The sequence below is a fragment of the Homo sapiens genome, chromosome 22 (assembly GCF_000001405.40).
Source record: "Homo sapiens chromosome 22, GRCh38.p14 Primary Assembly".
Classification (NCBI taxonomy): Eukaryota; Metazoa; Chordata; class Mammalia; order Primates; family Hominidae; genus Homo; species Homo sapiens.
In genome coordinates this window covers 17849654-17870169 of record NC_000022.11, presented here as the reverse complement: position 1 = coordinate 17870169, position 20516 = coordinate 17849654, and the positions used below count along the sequence as shown (strand labels likewise).

The 20516-nt window shown below is 50.0% G+C and overlaps 1 protein-coding gene and 1 long non-coding RNA gene across 4 annotated transcripts in view, besides 2 other annotated features; one reads left to right on the top strand and one right to left on the bottom strand.

Annotated features, from left to right (window-relative positions):
* MICAL3 (microtubule associated monooxygenase, calponin and LIM domain containing 3) overlaps positions 1 to 20516 on the top strand; it is a 236913-nt gene that overhangs the window by 154392 nt on the left and 62005 nt on the right. For 2 of the 3 annotated variants that reach the window (NM_015241.3, NM_001122731.2), the window contains 2 exons: positions 4158 to 4246; positions 5184 to 5271. In NM_015241.3, coding sequence (NP_056056.2) covers positions 4158 to 4246; positions 5184 to 5271 — 177 coding nt within the window. Of the gene's footprint in view, positions 1 to 4157; positions 4247 to 5183; positions 10016 to 20516 lie in introns of those variants that run through there. The other variant, NM_001136004.3, reaches the window with a different exon arrangement.
* On the bottom strand, positions 2853 to 3419 carry LOC124905075 (uncharacterized). The gene is made up of 3 exons (XR_007067998.1): positions 3333 to 3419; positions 3105 to 3181; positions 2853 to 2932 (listed from the first exon to the last, which is right to left on the bottom strand). It is a non-coding gene; the product is annotated as an uncharacterized LOC124905075 (long non-coding RNA).
* Positions 10450 to 10951: an enhancer, noted in NCBI's record as "H3K4me1 hESC enhancer chr22:18341985-18342486 (GRCh37/hg19 assembly coordinates)". NCBI's record gives its function as "activates a minimal SCP1, AML or CMV promoter by ChIP-STARR-seq in naive H9 embryonic stem cells {active_cell/tissue: H9 hESC(naive)}" and the evidence as "EXISTENCE:reporter gene assay evidence [ECO:0000049][PMID:30033119]".
* Positions 13296 to 14179: an enhancer, noted in NCBI's record as "H3K4me1 hESC enhancer chr22:18338757-18339640 (GRCh37/hg19 assembly coordinates)". NCBI's record gives its function as "activates a minimal SCP1, AML or CMV promoter by ChIP-STARR-seq in naive H9 embryonic stem cells {active_cell/tissue: H9 hESC(naive)}" and the evidence as "EXISTENCE:reporter gene assay evidence [ECO:0000049][PMID:30033119]".

Sequence of the window (20516 nt, the reverse complement as noted above, 5' to 3'; positions counted from 1 at the left end):
GTATTGTTAACACTGGAGCAGAGAAGACAGCCGTTCTAAACCAGCTCCCCAAATTTTAACCCAGATAAAATTTTCATCAGCTTAGCCCCTCCACAGTCCTTCCCCTCATCTGTCAGAGGACAGATGGACTAGAGCCAGGAAGGAACTTTAGGGGCACCGAAGTTTTAGCCTGTTTTTTATCCAAGTTGCCAAGTGTCTCAGAAGTCTAACTGAAGAGGCTCAGAGAACAAAGAATAAGCTGGGGAGGTTGTGGCAGGAGGAAGTAACCGAGGCCTTGTGCTGCGCCCCAACACATCACGCCCTTTGTCCTCACAACAACCCCATTAAGTAACTTTTTATTACTGTAATTAGAAGTCAGGAAGCTGAGTTCAGAGAACTTGTATGTTGTTTGTCCAAATTGACACAACTAGTAATAGCTCACTTGCACCAGATGACACCTGAGATTCATTCCAGGTCAGAGATTCAGGGATTGTGACTCCAGGCCTGCTGCCAACTCCATACTAGTAAATTAAGAATCATATTTGAAGATGTCCCCATATTTTACTTGTGGTGCTATTTGTTCTGTCTTCAGCTCTTTCTGGAGGATGCCGTCTGCTCAAACACAGAGCTGCTGTTTCTTTTTTTGCAAAGCATTAGCTCATTTGTGATCGCTGCCAGCTCTTAAGACAAGGACTCAAAATTAGTGTCAGGCCCTTCCCTGTCATCTTGAGAAGAGACATACGCTACCTCCACAGGTGGTGTGTGCAGGGTGGCCCTCGTCAGTGATGAGCCTGAGACTGTCTCCATCCCTGCAGCAGCCTCCAAGCCAGCCATGCATCTTCCACTTGGACCACTGGTCTCCTTGCCTCTGTTACACCCCAGTCTGTTTCCACAGAGCAACCGGAGGGATTTTAAAAGGTGTGACTTGGATCTCACCAGTGTCCTAGCCGCTGCCGTGCAGACAGAGCCCACAACCTTGTCCCAGGTGGAGAGAGCATTGCGTGTCCACCCCAGCCTCTGCCGTCAGCTGCCCCCAGCATGCTGCACTCTTTGCTCCAGTGTCTTTCCATCCCATAAGCATGATGAAGCCACTGCTCCCTTAGGACGTGGCTCTGCTGTGTCCTCTCCTGGAGCACACCCCCTGGTCTCCACAGGGTGAGACGCCTGTGTTTCACATCTCCATGTGGCGCTCCTCAGAGAGGGGTCTGGCTCTTTTGATAGAAGGCAGCTGCCCAGGCACCGGTGCGCCTGTGTGGTTCTCCATGCAGGGCTCGCACTGTCTCATCCATGCGTCTGTGGAGAACCATTCTGTCTGCTTGCCTGGGGGCACTCAGTGGAGAACCAGTCTGTCTGCTTGCCTGGGGGCTCTCGGTGTTCAGATTGGTAGCTGTCATACAGTGGCACTCGGGCCTGGGTGAATGAATGAATGAACGGCCCACTTGACCTTGGGTTTGCCCTGTGGCCACCTGTTTTCTCCATTTCCCTTTTCCAGTTACTCCCATATTCAGTTATCAGGATTCCTTAATTTGGACCATTGAGAATCAGTCACTTGACTGAATCACCCACAATTCATAGCTAATTAAAAACATAGCAAGGCTGGGTTTACCACTGAGGCAAGCATAGTAGTGTCATGGTAGTGCAGGCTCTGGCACCAGCATCCTGGACCACATCCGCCTCTGCGGTTCACTGACTGTGGGACACGCTGGGCAGGTCACTCGGCCTCCTGTTCCTCGCTGAGAAAGAGGTGGGTACTAATGGCACCTGCCTCACCAGCTTGTTTGGGGATTAAATGAGTTGATAGATGGAAAGCAGTTAAAATAGTGTCTGGCACTTGGTAAATGTTAACATTAAAATTAGCTTTTTTTTTTTTTAATTTAAAAAGCAAAAAGTGCCATCGTGTTGAGTTTGGGAAAGGATATGGGGAGATGCGTACACGTGACTTGTGCCACCTCATTGAATATCTCCACCTATGAGGTGGGTACTGTGTTCTTCTCCATGGGAGGAGATATTTTCCAAAAGACAGATGAGTTCACACGGCTACTGAGCAGTTGAGACAGTGTTGGAACGGAGATCACACTTAGCGCTCACATTGCTCGCATCATCTATACTGCCTTCCTAGAGAAAACAGTTTTCTGGAACTTTTTGATTAGGCTTGGAGGACTTGTTTCTGAAATGTAAACCTCTTTTCTTTATTAGTTTAGGATACCAAAGCAGAGTTCAAGGAGGATTCAGTTGAGTTCAATTGAGTTATACTTTAAGATCTGGGTTTCCACTTTTGCAAAAACAAGCAAATTAATGTAGGAAAAAAATAGAAGGAAGAAATGAAAGCCATGATAACATTTTAGTTTTCTGTTACTGTAATAAGCAAGGCTCTTGGTTACAAGTAATAGAAACCCAATGCAGATGACAGTTGAAGCCTTAACTTTATAGCTTCCATCCAGAGAGCAGTCCCCAGGGAAGGGCTGCCCCTTCCCTCACCTCCCTCACCATCCCCATAACGTCTCCAGCGAGCCTGCCTTTGGCCACATGCCAGTCCCCAGAGCACCCTGTCCTGGGTGGGGTGGAGGGAGTGAGTTGCCGAGCGGCCTGGGTCATGTGTTACTGGTGGTGGAAGGTCAGGCCACGTGGTTGCCAGCCCCTGTCAGTCTCATGGAGGAAGGAGGGGTATTTCTTAAAGAATGAGATACAAAACAGACCAAAACAAGTAGCGCATGATCCAAGCACTCATACATCTTACCTTATCCTAATTATTGGTGGCCAACATTTACAAAAGCTGAGTGGCTTATTCAGATGGGAAAAGGAAGTTGTGGCCAGGCTCCAGGCAACAACCCGTGGCTCCACTCCCCTGGTGGAGAAACAGGCGGTAAGACTGGCGGACTTTTGGCTGTCAGGTGTTGCCACTGTAGAGTCTCTGCATCCTGGCCAAGTGCCAGTGGCCAGTGAAACATTCTGTCTGAGAAAGTATACTAGGCATTATGAAAATTATTTAAAATCTGTGTCTTTCTAATAGATTTATTCAGCATTGGATAGGGAGTGCAGGTAAAACAAGTCAGTTTCTCTGAAGGAAAAGAAGAAAGATATAATCAGATCATCAGGGAAAGGGAAAGGGAAGAATGCCATCTTACCTTTATTTTCTTTGACTTTTAGGTCCTCTTATTGTAGCTTTGAGATCAGGAAAGCTCATTTGTCTAAGAAGCACTCTCTACAAATGAGGAAAATGAAATGGGATTACTTCTGTTTCAACAGTTTCTATAGTAGGGTTTATCACTTGAGATTCAAAAGTCGTCAGTCGCTCTTTAAGTGAGAGTAAAAAAGAGTCAGAAAAAAATGACTGCGTGGGTTAATTCCATTACCAGAGTCATGGGAAAAGCCAAGTTCAGTGGTGTTCAGATTTTTCTGACGACACCCCCCACGGGGATGCACGTTACATTGAGACCCAGACACAGCTGCAAGTTCCAAGAAATAACGTTTTATTCTCATCATGCCACAGTACACTCTGGATTCTATTCTATTCTATTCTATATTCTATTCTATTCTATTCTATTCTATTCTATTCTATTCTATTCTATTCTATTCTGTTCTGTTCTATGCTGTTCCCTTCCATCCTACTCATAGTCCATTGCAGTATTTTTTGTCTTCTAATGTCCTTTCCTGCTGATCCTGACCCTCTGAGGGGACTGGGAGGGGGTGAGAGATAGGGTGCGGGAGGGGGAGCAGCAGAGATGGGCCTGTCAGAGCCAATGCCAGGCGATGCCCCACCCCTGCAGCCTCCACGCCTCCACCCTGCACTTGTATTCATTCTTGGTTTCCCCAGCAATGCTACTCCCAGCGTTTCATGTGACCACATCTTTGTTCCTCACACACTGCCACTTTGTTTGCTGGCCCTGCCACACAGGCCTCACATCTTTGCTCTGGGCACTGATTGGGTGATGGCTCAATGGCCTTCACATTCCCAAAGGAAAAGACCCCCTTCAGGCCAAGGGAGAGGAGAGCTAGAATCAAAGTTTACCCGGAGGAACTGGCTTCTCTGGACAAGAAAGCTGGGCCCAGGGAAGGCTGGGTGGCTTGATGGCCTTGTGAGGCTGGAGGAGATGGAAAGGAGTGGCTGAGACCAGGGAGGCACGTTCAGGATCCGTGCCTGGCTCATCGCCTCTGTCCCTGCCTCTTGCTGTCTGCAGGTAAATTCTACTGTAAGCCACACTACTGCTATCGACTCTCTGGCTACGCACAAAGGAAGAGACCGGCAGTGGCTCCCCTGTCTGGAAAGGTAATGGTGACTCTCCTGTAAGTGGGGGAGAAGCAGTGGGTGTTGCAGCAGTGTGGCTATGGGCCGGGGGCGGCCAACCTGCAAATGCCCCTGCGTCCTTGCCTCTCCTGGGAACGGGGAGGGCCCGAAATGCAGTGGCAGTCCGGGGTGGAGAGGGAACCATCTTTTCATGGATGATCTGAGGTTGCCTCGCTAAGGTAAAGGCTCCACCTGCCCCCTGAGTCGGACCCAGGAGATGATGCAGCTCTCCATCTCAGCTGCGTAGACATCTGCCTTCGTCAACACACATCTTTCTGAGAGGACACCCTGCCACTGGGGTGATGCCGCCTCATGTTCCACATGATTAGAGCCTCCTCCAGAAGGGCAGGGTGGGAGAGGAGACTGTTGGGAGGATCCCTCGGTGGCCCCACCCTCACTCCCCACACCCAAAGGGCGCCCTGCCTGCGGGGCCTTTCACTAGTTCTGTGAGTTATTTGTCTGTGAATTTTTTCCTTCCTTATCCTCTTTTTAATGAGGGTGGCTTCTCCACCTGTCTTTGTCGCGGTGAACCCAGCAGTCTCTTCAGCATGGTTGCCACCTTGTCAGCACGCCTGCCTGTCAGTCCCCCTTGAGGGCTTCTGTTGCCTGCAGAGGGACTGGCAGGAAGAGGTGCACCTAGGTGGATCTAGACTTTGACTCCGGGTGACTCAGGAGGCTGAGGTGGGAGGATTGCTTGAGCCCAGGAGGTCGGGGCTGCAGTGAGCTATGATGATGCCGCTGCACTCCAGCCTGGGTGCCAGCAAGGCCCTGTCTCTTAAATAAATAAATAAATAAATAAATAAATAAATAAATAAATAAAATTTAAAACCAGCGTGTCAGATTGTCAGTGCCTCTAGGGATTTGAGGATTTGAGTGCATCAGTCAGAGTCACTCTTCTTTTTCTCATGAACTTTCCTAGGAGGCCAAAGGACCCCTGCAGGATGGCGCCACCACAGATGCAAACGGACGGGCCAACGCCGTGGCCAGCTCCACTGAGAGAACCCCAGGTAGCCTCACTTCCTTGTTTGGCTGGGTGGCGCGTCACTCCCTCGGCCTCTGTGACAAGGCCAAGGGCATGAGCCAGCACCTCCAAAGCAACATTTCTTCATTCGGGCAACAAGTGGCCCAAAACCCTCTGGACTCCTTTTTCATGTGCCAGCTGCTTGCGTTCGGAGTCCCCTTTCTCTATGGCCTGTCGGAGGTGCTGGTGCAAATCAGAGGGGAGTTCCACTGGCAGGCTGTGGCCCAGTGATGGGGCCGTCCGGTGGGCGGCAGAGCCGTGAAGTGCTGTCCCTCAGCCCCGTCCCGCACCATCACACCTGAGGGCGGCCCAGGTCCTGTGTAGGTAGACAGGAGCTCGCAGGCGCTCAGACACTGCTCCCATCACCCGCCCTGGTGAGGCCAAGGCCACTCGGCCTTCATGCAGTTTGCTTCCAAGCTCCTCTGACGGCCTGGAGCTGTGTTGATTAAGCCCCGTGGTCTTGTTTTGGGTTCACCTTCACTTAAGATTCTGCGTCCTGTTCCCTGTCACTGTGTGTGGATGAGCTGTGGCTGCTCTCCTGTCTGCCCTGCACCGTGATGGGACATGCCCTGTCCTGACCCCTTGGCCACTGGGCTTGTCATGAGGTCCAAGCCCTCACCTGTCCCACTTTCATGACCACTTCCTTGTGTTGGGAGGTGAACAGTACCATCTCTACCTCTACAAACACATTTATTCTTGTCATAGCATGACAGGACTCGCAGGGTTTGTGGGTACCAGGCCTGTTGGGAAGAATTATGTAGATTTTCCTTAAAATGGCCTCTCTCAGCAACTTGTAAAACTTGCCTGTGAGATGCGTCCAGAGCTCCACAAACTGCTGGGTGTTCTGAATGTCCCACATACAGCTCCAGGTGGTTCACGGCCCAGGGTCACTGTGGCAAGAGGGGGCCAGCAGGGCTGTGTTTCTGTCTGTCACACTTTCCTCTTGTTCAAAACACATGTATCTCAAGCAGCTATATACAAAACTCATAAAAATTAAAGATGGTCAGCCAGTGCCAGGAAATGTGGAGGAGGAGTTGGTCATAGAATTTCCATGGTGGGACAAGAGAATTACCCATTTGGCCTTCAACGAGAGGTTCCCAGAGTTGCATCCTTTCCCTTCCCTAACAGCTGGTTCATGTAGGCCTTGTGGTGCTCATTCTGGGAGAGGGAAGATGCGCCCAGAGGCTAGGCGGTGTGCCCTGGGAGCCATGAGAACCCAGCCAAGCCAGGTGAACGCAGCTTCTGCTACTGCACGTGCCCTTATTATCATCTGAGCAAGTTTTTTAAGTACCCTGCAGGTGGGACCAACATTTTATAGCCATGTTTCAACCATTAATGACTTTTAAACCTTCTACAATCTTGAAGATCTTTATAATCCATCTTTCTCGTGAAGTACCCACAGGCCTTTGCAGCTGACACTCTCAGAGCATGGGCAGAATCACTGGTAGAGAAAAATAACCAAAGGGGTCTAGACAGAGACTTTGGCTTTATGCTATAGAATGTACATTCAGTTGGAGAGAGCACCACCTTATTAGTCTGGGCCCTATTTCATCAGAGATGGATTTTCTGAGGAACCTGACTACTCAGTAGAACAACTCAAAAGAAACTAAACTTTCCATTTCGGTTTGGAGTACAGAACATTTTTTAAAAAGAATTAAACACAGTGAAGTTTAGGTTATTCCTGAATGACGCCAGGTTTGCTGACTTTCCCATCTGGTCGAGGTTGCCATTCTTGCCATCTAATTGAAAGTATAATGGGTTTCAGGTTTTTAGGAGTTCTAAAGAATTACGCTTTCCATAGAGAATAAGAGGAAGAATGTTCTACATAGTGGGGAGAGAGGATGAGGGTTGGCAGTGTGGTTAAAGAGCAAAACCACCAAGAAAGAGTCAGAGCCCTGAGGACGTCTCTGTCCGCGTGGTTCTTGATTCTGAGCCAGAAGGTGACTTGGTATAGCACGGGAGTTCAAAATGTGGTGTCCCAAAGGAATCACAGTGTGGACCTTTACAGTTAATGACAGGCACTGTCCCCCAGCTTGGGTGGCAAAGGCCAGTGAGCTCAGGGCTGAGGGGCTTACCCTCCGGCAGCTCAGAGTCCAGAACATCTTAGTCCGGCAGCTCAGAATCAGGGCACCTTGCCTCCCGGTGAGCTCACTCTGCTGCTAGCCTTGGTAGAAAAGGAACAGGATTATGGGCAGTATTTTATGGCTGGCATGAAATAGATACCCTTTTCTCCTTTGATAGAGATTTCCTTCTTTAAATATGAAACTGAAGCTTTGAGGACTTAACTAGACTTCCTTTTGAAAAGTTTCAGAAAAGCTCAGGTGTGGCCAGGCACGATGGCTCATGCCTGTAATCCCAGCACTTTGGGAGGCCGAGGCGGGCAGATCACGAGGTCAGGAGATCGAGACCATCCTGGCTAACACAGTGAAACCCCGTCTCTACTAAAAATACAAAAAAATTAGCCGGGTGTGGTGTGGTGGCGGATGCCTGTAGTCCCAGCTACTCGGGAGGCTGAGGCAGGAGAATGGCGTGAACCCAGGAGGCAGAGGTTGCAGTAAGTCGAGATCACACCACTGCACTCCAGCCTGATGACAGAGCAAGACTCCATCTAAAAAAAAAAAAGAAGAAAAGGGAAAGCTCAGGTGTTTCAGGGTCCCAGAATGTATGTTGTAGAGAACAGTCATTAGCTCAGGCCCATGGTAACCGCCTCTACTGTGCACTCGACCAGTAGAGGCGATGATGACGGCACTTGATTCTCTTGTGTGTAACTCAGCCATCCTCCCTAGACCCACGTCCCAGGAGGCAGGGCTGGTAAAGCTATGACTGGGCAGTGTTTGACCCAGCTGTGCTTTTACTCTGTGCCTCCTCTTTATATTGTGGCATTTCTCTCTTCTCCTTTATGTTCTTTTTCTTTTTATGCCAAAATTCTTGCTGTTGCCAAAACAAAAACAAAAAAACACACCCACACCCAATTACAACCTGCAGTTCAAAGAACCACTCTAGGTCGGCTTTAAAGTATTGTCTTTCTCTGGTAACCAAATCTGTACCTGCTGCCTAATTTAGTGTTTGGGGGCATTGTTTACAGTATTTCTGTTTGTAATGTGCTTTTAATATAGAAATCCTCTTTTTTGTTCTTAAATCTATGAATGCTGTGTTTCCAAGCTTATACTTACTACTGCGTGTTAGTGGTCCTGGCACAGATTTTCTTACCCTGGCCTTGTACTGTCCACCATGACTTTAGAAAAAGCTTGAACAATAGGCAGAGAAAGGAAATCCCCAAAAGGGATTATTTTCCCCTTGGACATGAGAAGTTTAGTTACAGGTTTCTTGAATTCGTTTTTGTCCAGAGGAATCCTCTTTTTATCTGATACGGTTGATGACCAAAAATGAAGTAGGGAAGCCGAAGGCATAGCCGGAAAGGAACAGAAGAGCTTTTTCCCCGAGTGCTCATCACCGGGTTCATTACCGGCCAGAGATGGACGGGGAGAAGCACGTTAGTTTCCTGTCATCTTATGGAAAAGATGATCTGAAGTTAAAAAATGAAGGTCACAAGTGGCAGTTGCCTGACCCCTGTCCCCAGACATTCCTTGCCCGATAACCATGAGGTTCCATAGTTCGGATCCTGAATGGGCCTTTAGGAAATGCAGGCCTTTCCCACACCAGCTAGAAGGGTAGCCAGGCAGTAGAATTTCATTCAACCCTAGGGTTCCCACCTGACAGAGGGAAGTTCGGAAGTCTTACTGCTTCCCACGTCCCCTTCCCTTCTAGGCATTTATGGAAAGCTTTTTAGTGGAGCAAGAGAATTCTACAATCCAGCTTACCTCCCACCTTACCCCAAGAGCCATAGCTGACGGTGATGTGTGAATGTTTATATATAGGTACACGTTTGTATGTATATAGATCTAATTGCACATATATGGGTAGATATTTATTTATATGTTGCACCCTAAATTATAGTAATTATAATAATTGTGAAGCTGTTTCTAAAGCTGCTTGTTCCTGGTTCTGAGAACCACGGGAGCCTCACACTGGGGAGCCGTACTCCAGGTCAGGGCTTTGGGGATGCACAGCAGCGTACGGGCAGCACGCCTGTAAGGAGGTGAGTGGGTGGGTGTCTCAGAAAATGGGCAGCACACCCCCAAGAAAGGGCCCCAAGAGCAGACTAGGAACGCAGGGGGCTGCTGCTGCCAGGACACCACGGAGAGCCGGGCACCCGCCTCACATGTCTCCTGTCTGGCTCCACTGAGTTAGCCGTTTGAGCCCACTCCTATCTTTTGGTGGTTAGTGCATCTTCAGCTCTTTTCTGCAAGACACTGGAACATTCCTAGGCTGTCCCAAAAGGAGTTCCACCATAGCCTTTAAGGTCCGAGCAGGGCACCAAGGGGTTCACTTTTCTCCCGAGCCATTCAGCTTGGGGTGCCTGCGGGAGGGGCGGACAGCCAGCCGGCTTCCCGGCGGCGGTACGAGAGCCCAACAGGAGAGGATTAGCTGTGCCAAGGAACACGCCACTGCTGCCTGTCTACTGCCCGCCTTCTCTCCACTTCCATTTTTGCCTTTGTTTTTAACTTGTGCTCTTGTGAGTTCTTGGTGTGTTTCTTTGTGAGTTTTTATTTAATTGTGTAACTTTGTTTTTGCCGTTGACTGTGAAACCAAGTTGTCGTGCTTTTAATTTTTTTTTTAACAAATGTTACATTCTTATTTAAGAGAATAAATTCCAAACAATCTTCGGATTTCTGAGTTTTTCTTTTCCTTCCCTTTCTCTTGACCAGAGGGTGGGAAAGGGGGAGGCTCAGGCAGGTCTTGGGAGTGAGCTTGAGGCCACTGTGGCTCAGGACTCCCACTCCGGGGGGTCAGCAAGACAGCAGAGGTGCAAAGTGGGGGAAATAGGTTTTTATACCTGACATAGCTTCCCGTTAACAGAGGACTCCTGTGTAGGGGCTGGAGTGGTGCGAAGTTTTGCTTTGCAGCAGCTGCAAGTGGAGAAAAGCAAGAAGGATGCCACCTGTGCCCATGGGCCTCAGGTGCAGTCCACCAGCAGGAGGGCCCGCAGGCTGGGCGGATGGAGGGGTAGAAATGCCACACAGAGCCTGGTCAACCATAGGGACATAGAGCCAGGCACCTTCTTCCTCCCTCCAACTGTGGCAGGGAGCTGGGGCCAGGGGCGTGTCTGTCTTCCGCCTGGAGGCTCTGCCAGGCGTGCCCGCAGGCACAACAGCCTTGCTCCTGGTAAGGTTGAAAGTTCTTGCTCTTTCTTCCTGAGCTGATTTCTCTCTCATGCTGTCTTTGGTGTGACCTGGACGCTAAGCTGGGATATCTGATTCTTTTTGGCCCTTCTCCAGCCTGGAGGGACTAGCCTGCATTAAAAACAGACTATTCCCTTCTCACACACACCGCTGCTGGCATTAGCAGCCGTGGCACTGTTCCCGCATTTTGTCAGCTGCAGTGGGCACAGGCCTAGCCTCATGCTGAATTGGCCCAAGAGAGGGCACTGTGCTGTAGTGGGCAAAGCACTCAGCCCCGAGTCTGCACCTGCCGGGCCCTAGGCACTTGGGTGTTCTCACATGAAAGAGCCCTCTCTGGCCTCCGTCCCCCTGAAGCAGCTCTCTTGGAACGTGAAGAGGTCTTGGCTTCCCCATAGATCAGAGCAGCAGGTCCCTGGGGTCTGCTTGGCATTCTCGACAACCACAGTCCAGGTTAGGGAGGGCCTCACCCCCCAGTAGCTCACAGCTCTGCTGTGACACCGTCATTTTCCTCAGAGCCTCGATGGTTCTGAGAGTCTGGGCGGTGTCTCCTGGCCTGCTCATGTCCTTCCTCCCCTCAGCCCCCCAGGTCTGTAGCCTCTGGCTCCCCTTTCTCTGAAATAAGTCAGTCAGTATCCTAGTGCCTGCAGAAGGGAGAGAAGGAATTGGGATGTGGGGGGCGCAATAAGTGACAAATTAACTAAGCGTCAGTAATAAGGATGGATACATACGTGTGCATAATTTTCAAATCTCAGCCCCTGGCTGCTGTTGCCTGCCCATCCCCCAGTAATAAAGGGGAGGGGACCACTGCTGTTCACAGCGATGCCTGAGGCTTCCAGCAGGAAGGTGGGGACACCCAACGTGATTCTGTGCTGCCCATTGGGAACACCCCAGAAAATCCCTTTTGGATCTCAGTTTCCTTCTGAAACTTCTTGAAATCTGTTCTTTTTTCTCATAAATTCCCTGTCAGTTTCCCTAATTAACACACTGCCTAAGAGGGAGGCCGTGGCACACACATGGAAGGAGAGCGGCTGTGAAAATGGGCCACTCTTATTTTCATGCTAAAAAATAGGGCAGGATGATGCCGTATAGGACCCGGTCCCACAAGTGCTCCCCGAGATAAAAACACCCATGTGGAGCTCTGAACGGCAGCAGCCAGGCAGAGATTTCAGGAGAAGTCTTTCCGAATTCCAGCCCCTTTCACGAAGCCCTGAAACCTCCTTTAGACTCAAAAACCAGCCCTTACCTTGCAGCTCACCCAGCCAAGCGCCTCACAAGTGCCAGCAAGTAGATTAGTCATAATGAAACAAGGGGTGGTGAGGCCCATTGGCACTCCTGCCCAGGTCAGGTCATGGCACTGTGGGCTCCTCTCACCACCGCCCGGAATTCTCAGCACCCTGTTGGCTGCCAACACCTCTTTCTTTATAATTGCTCCTTGTCTCCTCACCGCTTACCTTGGCGGGAGGGGGTGGTAGGCTTGTACGCAGAAACACGTTTCATTGCCCGGGAGGGGATGCGGGCCTCCAGGTGGATGGGACTCTCCATCAATTACTTCCGGGTTCTACCAGCCACGTGAACACCAGCTCCATTTTACTTCCTGTGGGCCAACTTCCACATCACTTTGCAAAAGCAGTTTATGAACACTTTCTGAATATTTTGGGGGCCCTTTAATGGGTCTCCAAGAAGGACAGTGGGCAAGAGGTTGAATCACTGCCAGCATCTTCACCCTAACTCAGGCTAGCTAAGCCCAACCTTGTCACTGATGTGCTTTTCCTCCCAGCAATAAGAAGTATGCCGTGCATAGGCAGAATGTGCCTAAAACGGGAAGAAGGCACACGCCCCTCAGAAGGCCCTTGCTGGCATGAAAGGAAGTTTTGGAACACCCTTCCACAGACAGGGAATCTAGGGCCCCAGCTCCGCCTTGCTGCAGACTCTTGGGGCCATGCTGGGACAGCTACTAGAAAAATCCTTACAGAACTTCTCTTGGCCTCTTGTGTTTTCTTTATCTCTATTTCTTTCTGTACTTACCCAGCTCTTTGTGCTTCTACATTAATCACATGAGACTGCCCAGGTGTGACTGTTAAGTGACTGATTTCCTTATTCTGTGTTCTGTGATCAACTCTCCTGCACCTGCGGGAGAAGAGCCACGCCGCAGGCCGTGTTCCCCAACCTTGCTGGCACCAGGGTCTGGTTTCGTGGAAGACAGTTTTTTCACAGACTGGGGTGGGCAGTGGTTTTGGGATGAAACTCTTCCACCTCAGATCATCAGGCCTTAGTTGGATTCTCATAAGGAGCATGCGGCGTGGGTCCCTCACATGCTCACTTCACAATAGGTTCCCGCTCCTGGGAGAATCTCGTGCCGCCACCGCTGATCTGACAGGAGGCGGAGCTCAGGCTGTGACACTCACTAGCCAGCCACTCCCCTCCTGCTATGCGGCCTGGTTCCTGACAGGCGGTGGGTCTATGACCCAGCCCGGGCCACAGCGCAGGGGGTGGGGACTCCTGCCAGAGTAGTTTTCATGGACAAAGTACAACCTGGTGACCAAGGAAGAGCTGGTATCGATTAACAGGATTATGGCAGCAATTTATTTATTGTTGCCCTGTTCCCCAGAACTAAGACTCTAAAAAGACCAGGTTACAGTGAGACCAGCTATAAAATTTCTTTCCTATCATTTTACTACCGAGAGACTAGGTCAGTAGGTTCTTTTAAAAGTAAACATTTTCGGCCGGGCGCGGTGGCTCACGCCTGTAATCCCAGCACTTTGGGAGGCCGAGGCGGGTGGATCATGAGTTCAGGAGATCGAGACCATCCTGGCTAACAAGGTGAAACCCCGTCTCTACTAAAAATACAAAAAATTAGCTGGGCGCGGTGGCGGGCGCCTGTAGTCCCAGCTACTCGGGAGGCTGAGGCAGGAGAATGGCGTGAACCTGGGAAGCGGAGCTTGCAGTGAGCCGAGATTGCGCCACTGCAGTCCGCAGTCCGGCCTGGGCGACAGAGCGAGACTCCGTCTCAAAAAAAAAAAAAAAAAAAAAAAAGTAAACATTTTCTTCTAGAGTTTCATCTAACGTGAATTACTCTGAACCAGCTGCTGCCTTCCTTTTGGCCAGTTCAGCCTTCTTGGGGCATTGGCGTTGGTAGAGGCACGGGAACGCTGGGGTGGAGGGTGCAGGGAAGAGGGCTCTGCGATCTCAGAGAAACAGGAAGCACTGGGTGCTTAGAGAGGAGAATGAAGGGCCAGGGAGGTAAGAGTCCGCACTGGCTTGCTGTGTTGCCGAGAGCCAGCAGCAATCCTTCATGCTGCTCAAAAGACCATGCTTAGGGCTTGTCTGTGTTTGCAACCAAGAAAGCCCTCTTCTCTGCCAAAATACTTTCCCCAAATAAAAATTGACAGTAAAGCTTGCAGTGCCGTCACTCCTGCTGTTTTCCCCACATGTGACTGATGTTGATCAGTTAGCCCTGGGGGCCCTTGCCATACTCACTCACAGAAGACGATGCTGGGAGACACACAGTAGCGGCAGCAGCGGTCGCTAACATGTAGCACGCACTGTGCACAGGCCCTGAGCAGATGCTTTGTGTAGCTGACCTTGGATCCTCACAGCAGCCATAAGGGAGGCAGGCCCCATGTTGCACATGGGGAAACAGGCACATAGGAGTTAGGCAGGCTTGGCCAAGGCCACGTAACCAATAAACTCAGAGTTGGGCAGAGGCTGTGCAGAGGACACAGGAGCTGCCCTTCATCATTCTCTGCAGCCTGGGCTCGGCAGCGTGGGCGAGAGGCAAGAACCCTATGTGTAGATGCCCTGGAGAAGCCAGTGAGTTTCCATTTCATTATTCCTGGAAAATACAGGTCTCCCAATTTGACAACCATCCCAGAGTTGGGAATGTGCCTCTGGAAAGACAGCACATTAAATAAAGGCAAAGGATTTCATCACTGAGGTGCAATGGGGGAAGTCATTAAAGAAATGGAGGAAGAGAATGACAACCATCCGAATTGACTGTAAATAATATGAAATGGACTTTCTCTTCATTTTCTCTATATCATCCTTCGTTTTGGTCCTCTCGAATCCAGCCTGAGGTTTTGTTATGAAGAGTAAGCCCTTCCTCCATCCGTCCGCCCTGCCAGTGATGTGGAGGATTGGGGAACATGCTTGGGGGATGTTTTTTCTTTGAGTTCTGGTGTAACTGCTTCTAGCTTATAAATCTGTTGGCTTTTCCTCTACCACCTCATTTTCTGATACGTTTCAAAGGCCTGAGTGAAGGTGGAGCTGACACTTCCATTGTGTTACAGCTTCACAGCTGCCATTCACAGTCCTCTTAAGACATTGCCTGCCCTGGGCCTCTGTAGGGTTAGGGATAGGGGAAGGAAGGGATGATTTTGTACCTCTTTTTGTGCTGAATATGGACATTCTGATCTACTCAGGCTTGGGCCACTCTGTACTGAACTCACACGTAAAGTGATTGACTCGTAAGTCTTTGGGCTAAGTGTGCATGGGAAGTCCTGGTTGTGCCTGCCAGCTGCAACATGGTTCGGCATAGAGAGGTTTTCAGGAAGCCTCCTGGGCATGTGTGGCACGGCCTGGCCTGACCTCGGCAAGGCACACTGTGGCAGGGGCACTCAGAGCTCTCAGGTTGGAGGTTTCTGGAAAATGGGGAAAAAGAGGAGTTGAGAACACAGCACAAAGGTAGGTGTGTTTTTCCATGCCATGTTCTCCCGTCAGTTTTCTTCCTGGGTTTAGTGAGACGTCCTGCTGTAATATCCAAGTGGAACGTCCCGTCTGTCAGAGGCTTCTAGCATCCAGCCAGGAGAAAGTGAGTGAAAGGCGAGAAGCCCATCAGATTCATCTCTGGTGGTCTCCTTTAATTCCTGCGGCCTCATGCACATGACAAACATGGACGGAGGGGTAGGGGATGTGCAGGTGCCCTCCAGGGGCATTGCCAGGAGGAGCAGAATCACCTTCCATCAGTAGAGTCGCGTCATGAGACAAGGGAAAGTTCAGGCGGCTCATGCAGCTACTTGGGGTGCAGGTGCTCAGCGAGTGGCAGTGACCAAGTTTGTCACAGCATGCACCTCTCTCATGGATTTCCTGTCTGTGGACGGCAAGCCCAGAGCTACCTGTTCACCAGGCAGTTCTCGGTTGGTCCTCCATGTACTGCACTCCTGCTGGTCAGGCATTGCACCTTGGCAGCCACGGTGAAGGGTCGTGAGCTTACCACGTCAGACCTTGTGGAGAGTTGGTTGGTCGGCCTGTTTGGTAAGAGATTAGAAATAACTTGATATAACTTCTAAGCCAGGGCTTCTCCAGCCCAGCACTGTGGACGTTTTGGGCTGGATCCTGCTTTGCTGTGAGGGCTTCCTGTGCCTTGTGGTGTGTCGGGTGTGTCCCTGGCCTCTCCCCATCAGACATCAGTAGCACCCCCCTCCCCAAGCTGTGTCAACAGAAAATGTCTCCAGACATTGCCAAGTGACCCAGGGGAAAAATCACCCCAGTTGAGAATCACGGATCTAGACTAAGGTTAGAAGAAAGGACATGACATTGACATGCTGTCAGCCTCAGTTATATTGTGGGAGAAGTGGGCGTGGGGTAGAGGAGGCCATCAGGATAGAGGATGGTGAGAATCAGAAAAGTGATCCTGAACAGTGTTGCCAGCTCCCAGCCCAGGCCTCCAGACCTGTCAGCCCCCACAAAACCGTGAACACACTTCCTAGTGGCTGTGCTTTCTCACACGTCGGGACCCTGTACGAAGACTGCATGCCATAGGACGGGCGGGTGCAGATCATTTTAGAAGGCAGACCTGCAAAATAAAAGCAGAGATCCTGTGTTGTTTCTGTACCCCAGTGGATGTGCACACCCTTTGGTGGTGGCCCCAGCCTCAGAGAGTGGAGCTGGGTCTCAATGGAACCAGCACAGATCTTGAAACAGAAGATGTGAATTTGAGTTTCAGTTCTGCCACCTGTCATGCTTGCTGTCATAACCTCTGTGAGCCTCAGTTTCACCATGTGTAAAATTTTTAAATGAAGAAAAATGCTACCTGCTCCTCTGTCTGCTAAAGTTGTTGTGAAGAGCGCATAAGTTAAGATGTATGAAACTTGTTTATTTAAAAGCATTACAAGAATATCAAATGTGATTGTCATTGGCAAGGATTCCAGGAAATTCTGGAAGAATTAGAGTGAGGGTGAATTAGAATCATTTCTACTGGCTGTGTACGGGCCTCCCTCTCTGGCCTGTGCCTGCTGTGGGGTTAGGACAAGGTGGCCCGTTGAGATATATCTTCAGCCAACAGAAGCTGGGGGAAGCAGAAGAGGTGAGAGCTTGGCTGTCTCCAGGCTGCAGCAGAGTGGGCTGGGGGAGTGGACCTTCGTTGCGTGCCAGCTGTTGTGAAGCACGGTTAAATCTCCATGGCTGCTTGGCTAAATTTGGCATTGCTTTTTCCCTCAGCCTGCGTGAATGGGATGTGAAGTCACCTACTGATTCTATGACACCCTAGGGGCTCTTCACTATAGTAACAAAAGCACAAACAGTCCTACACAGGATTTACATTAAGCTAAATATTCCTTTTTTTTTTTTTTTGAGATGGAGTCTCGCTCTGTCACCTAGGGTGGAGTGCAGCAGTGCGATCTTGGCTCACTGCAGCCTCCATCTCCCAGGTTCAAGCGATTCTCCTGCCCCAGTCTCCTGAGTAGCTGGGATTACAGTCACATACCACCACGCCCGGCTAATTTTTATATTTTTAGTAGAAACTGGGTTTCACCATGTCAGCTAGGCTGGTCTTGAACTCCTGACCTCAGGTGATCCTCCCGCCTCAGCCTCCCAAAGTGCTGGGATGACAGGCATGAGCCACCAAGCCCCGGCCTTCATTAAGCTAAATTTTCAACTCCTAACCTGAAAGTCGGAAATGTGAGTAGGAGCCAGGTAGCTTTCTCTTAGGCAGAGCAAGGGTTTATGCGTGGTCCCAGGGCCTGTCTGGGGTTGCTGGTTAGACCCAGGAGCCTCAGGTGGCCCCTTTGGAGGAAAGGAGGGTACCTGATTTCCTCTTGGAATCAGTGCACCAATGGGTGTTTTATGGGTGATGATAGACCCGCAGCTGCTCAGCTGCTGCTGATGCTGTAGAAAGGGTGCCCCGAGCCTGGGCTGTGCGCTCCTGCACCATCAGCCTTTGTTCTTAGTGTCTGTCTGCTTGTTTAGAGCCTCTCCATTCCGAGACACTAATGATTCTCTTCCAGGCCAGCCTCAGTGGCCCTCTGACAGGTGAAAACAGAAGTGTGACTGTGATCGATGTTTCTCTTCCAGGCCAGCCTCAGTGGCCCTCTGACAGGTGAAAACAGAAGTGTGACTGTGATTGACGTTTTACAGGGTAGTCATGGGCACTGCGGCAGGCAACTTTAGTTTCTTTCCAAAAACACATCTGCAGCTAGCCAAGGGAGTATGTATATGTGATTTTGTGTCTTTAAAAGAAAGGCATCTGAACCTATTTAAGAGAAGCCTTTTGTTGGAACGTGGGTTTGTCTCTGTGGATCCTGCGATGTAGACCGAGCCTGCCTGAGGCTGTGTGGCTGCTCACAGGAGGGTCACATCAGAGCTGGCTTTGGATGCATTCCGGACTGAGAGTGTCAGGGGCACTCTGCTCTGGAGGACAGGAGGGTTGGAATAGAGCCTGGAGTCTTGGGGAAAGCACGTCAGCCTGGACTTGCTCGTGCTGACCCATGTCCTCCTCTGCCCTTCACCCGCCACGTGTCAACACTGGGCCCCTTTCTGGTGAGCAAGCTGCTTCCCGGAACCAAACTCCTCTCTACCGTGAAGTGAAGTGCTTGTGTCAGGACATCGAGCCATTCGAGGTAGTCTCTTTTCAGAACTTTGATGTCCTCTGTGCCATTGGCGTCTTCGTCAGAATTTCTCTCCTGAGTGCTGTGAGAACTCTTGCCGTCTTGGTAGACTTGCCCTTTTCATGAGGCGGCCGTTCCCATTTGTTCTTGGGGAACTGCGTAGCACCAAGCTACCTGACAGGCATGGTGGTCATGAAGTCTCTGTGTTAAGATCAGGAAACCAAGGCCAGAATATGCTCAACATTATAGTGGAGCGAAGCTCAGACAGAGGATTAGAACTCTTTATCCTGATCATTTATTCAAAACACTTTATTGACTGCCTACCCTGATGCACTGATGGCTTCAGGAACACAAAGATGATGAGAATAATCCCTCTCCCCAGCAGAGCCTCTGGTTTTAAAGTCCATTCAGACCTGAACAGAAGGGGAGAGATGCCCTAATAAAGACGTGTATAAAAGCCCTTCAAGGGTGTCAAGTGGAGCCGGAAGCAGGATCGGGTAACGACGGCAGAAGTAGGGGGGAAGCCATCCTTCCTGTCTTCACCTGCCCCTTAGGATTTGAGAGATCAGCCCTGCAACTATTGACTTGACAGATTACTTGTTATGTAACTGTATGGAACCTCCCGGTTCACGAGCCACGTATTTGAACCAAAGAGTTAAAATATTTCAAATCCCAGCGCATAACCGCTACCCTTTCTGAGATCTTACCCAGCTACATCCAGGTGGGCAGGTAATGAAGGTAGACAGCTAGAGCGCAGCACTCGTGCAATTTAAGAGGAGACCCAGCTGAATTCCAGTGCTTTAGACATGTCCACAGCCTCCCAACGCCAAGAAGCAGCCATCAGGAAGGATGGCCTGGCCAGTTGATACAAATCAAGTCAAGGTTTACCTGTGAGATGGTATAACACGTGAAAAATACGTTTTCAGGAGAGCCGCATGACACACTGGTGAGTTGTATGTTACTGGAGAGTCGGGCTTGTAGCTTAAAAGAAACCTCTTTGCCTTGACCAGATACATTGATGTGTACCAGGATTTCCATTTGCCAAAAAGGCACCTTGGGAGATGATGTAATCATAACAGTAAAAATAACCTGACAGTAAAAAACTAACTCGGCCAGGCACGGTGGCTCATACCTGTAATCCCTGCACTTTGAGAGGCCAAGGCAGATAGATCACCTGAGGTCAGGAGATCGAGACCATCCTGACCAACATGGTAAAACCTCATCTCTACTAAAAATACAAAAATTAGCCGGGCATGATGGCAGGCGCCTGTAATCCCAGCTACTCAGGAGGCTGAGGCAGGAGAATCACTTGAATCCAGGAGGCAGAGGTTTGCAGTGAGCCAAGATCGCACCACTGCACTCCAGCCTGGGTAACAGAGTGAGACTCCATCTCAAAAAAAAAAAAAAAAAAAAAAAAAAAACTAATTCAAAAGCAAAAGTTCCACAGGGTCACACAGAGTGAGAGCAAAGGACTGCGGTGATGGGGAGCTCTTGTCCCCCCTAGCGGTGTCCTCACTGCAGGGGTGTCCTCGGCATGCTTGGGAAACAGTGTTTGGGTCTGAGGGGTGGCCCCCCTCCCATTTGGGTGGTTTTCCCTGGTACAGAACTGGTTTGTTCCCTATTGGGTTTTTTCCTCTTTGGCCTCTCTAGCATATTGTATTTAACTCAGAATTTCCCAATTCTTCTGATAAGTATCTTCAAAGCAACTGAATTTCCCAGTGAGCCCATGTCACCTGCTTTCCCACTATTCTCAGTGCCCCGACATACAAGTAAAGTTACCCCAAATGAAGAATAGTTCATGTGTAGCAGGCAGTTAAAAATTCCATCCTGGGACTGGGCGCGGTGGCTCACATCTGTAATCCCAGCACTTTGGGAGGCTAAGGCGGGCGGATCACGAGGTCAGGAGTTCGAGACCAGCCTGGCCAACATAGTGAAACCCGTCTGTACTAAAAATATAAAAATTATCCAGCCTGATGGCGCACACCTGTAATCCCAGCTACTTGGGTGGCTGAGGAAGGAGAATTGCTTGTACCTGGTAGATGGAGGTTGCAGTGAGCCGAGGTTGCACCACTGCACTCCAGCTTGGGTGACAGGGTGAGACTCCATCTCAAAAAAAAAAAAAAAAAAAAAAAATACACACACACACACACACACACACACACACACAC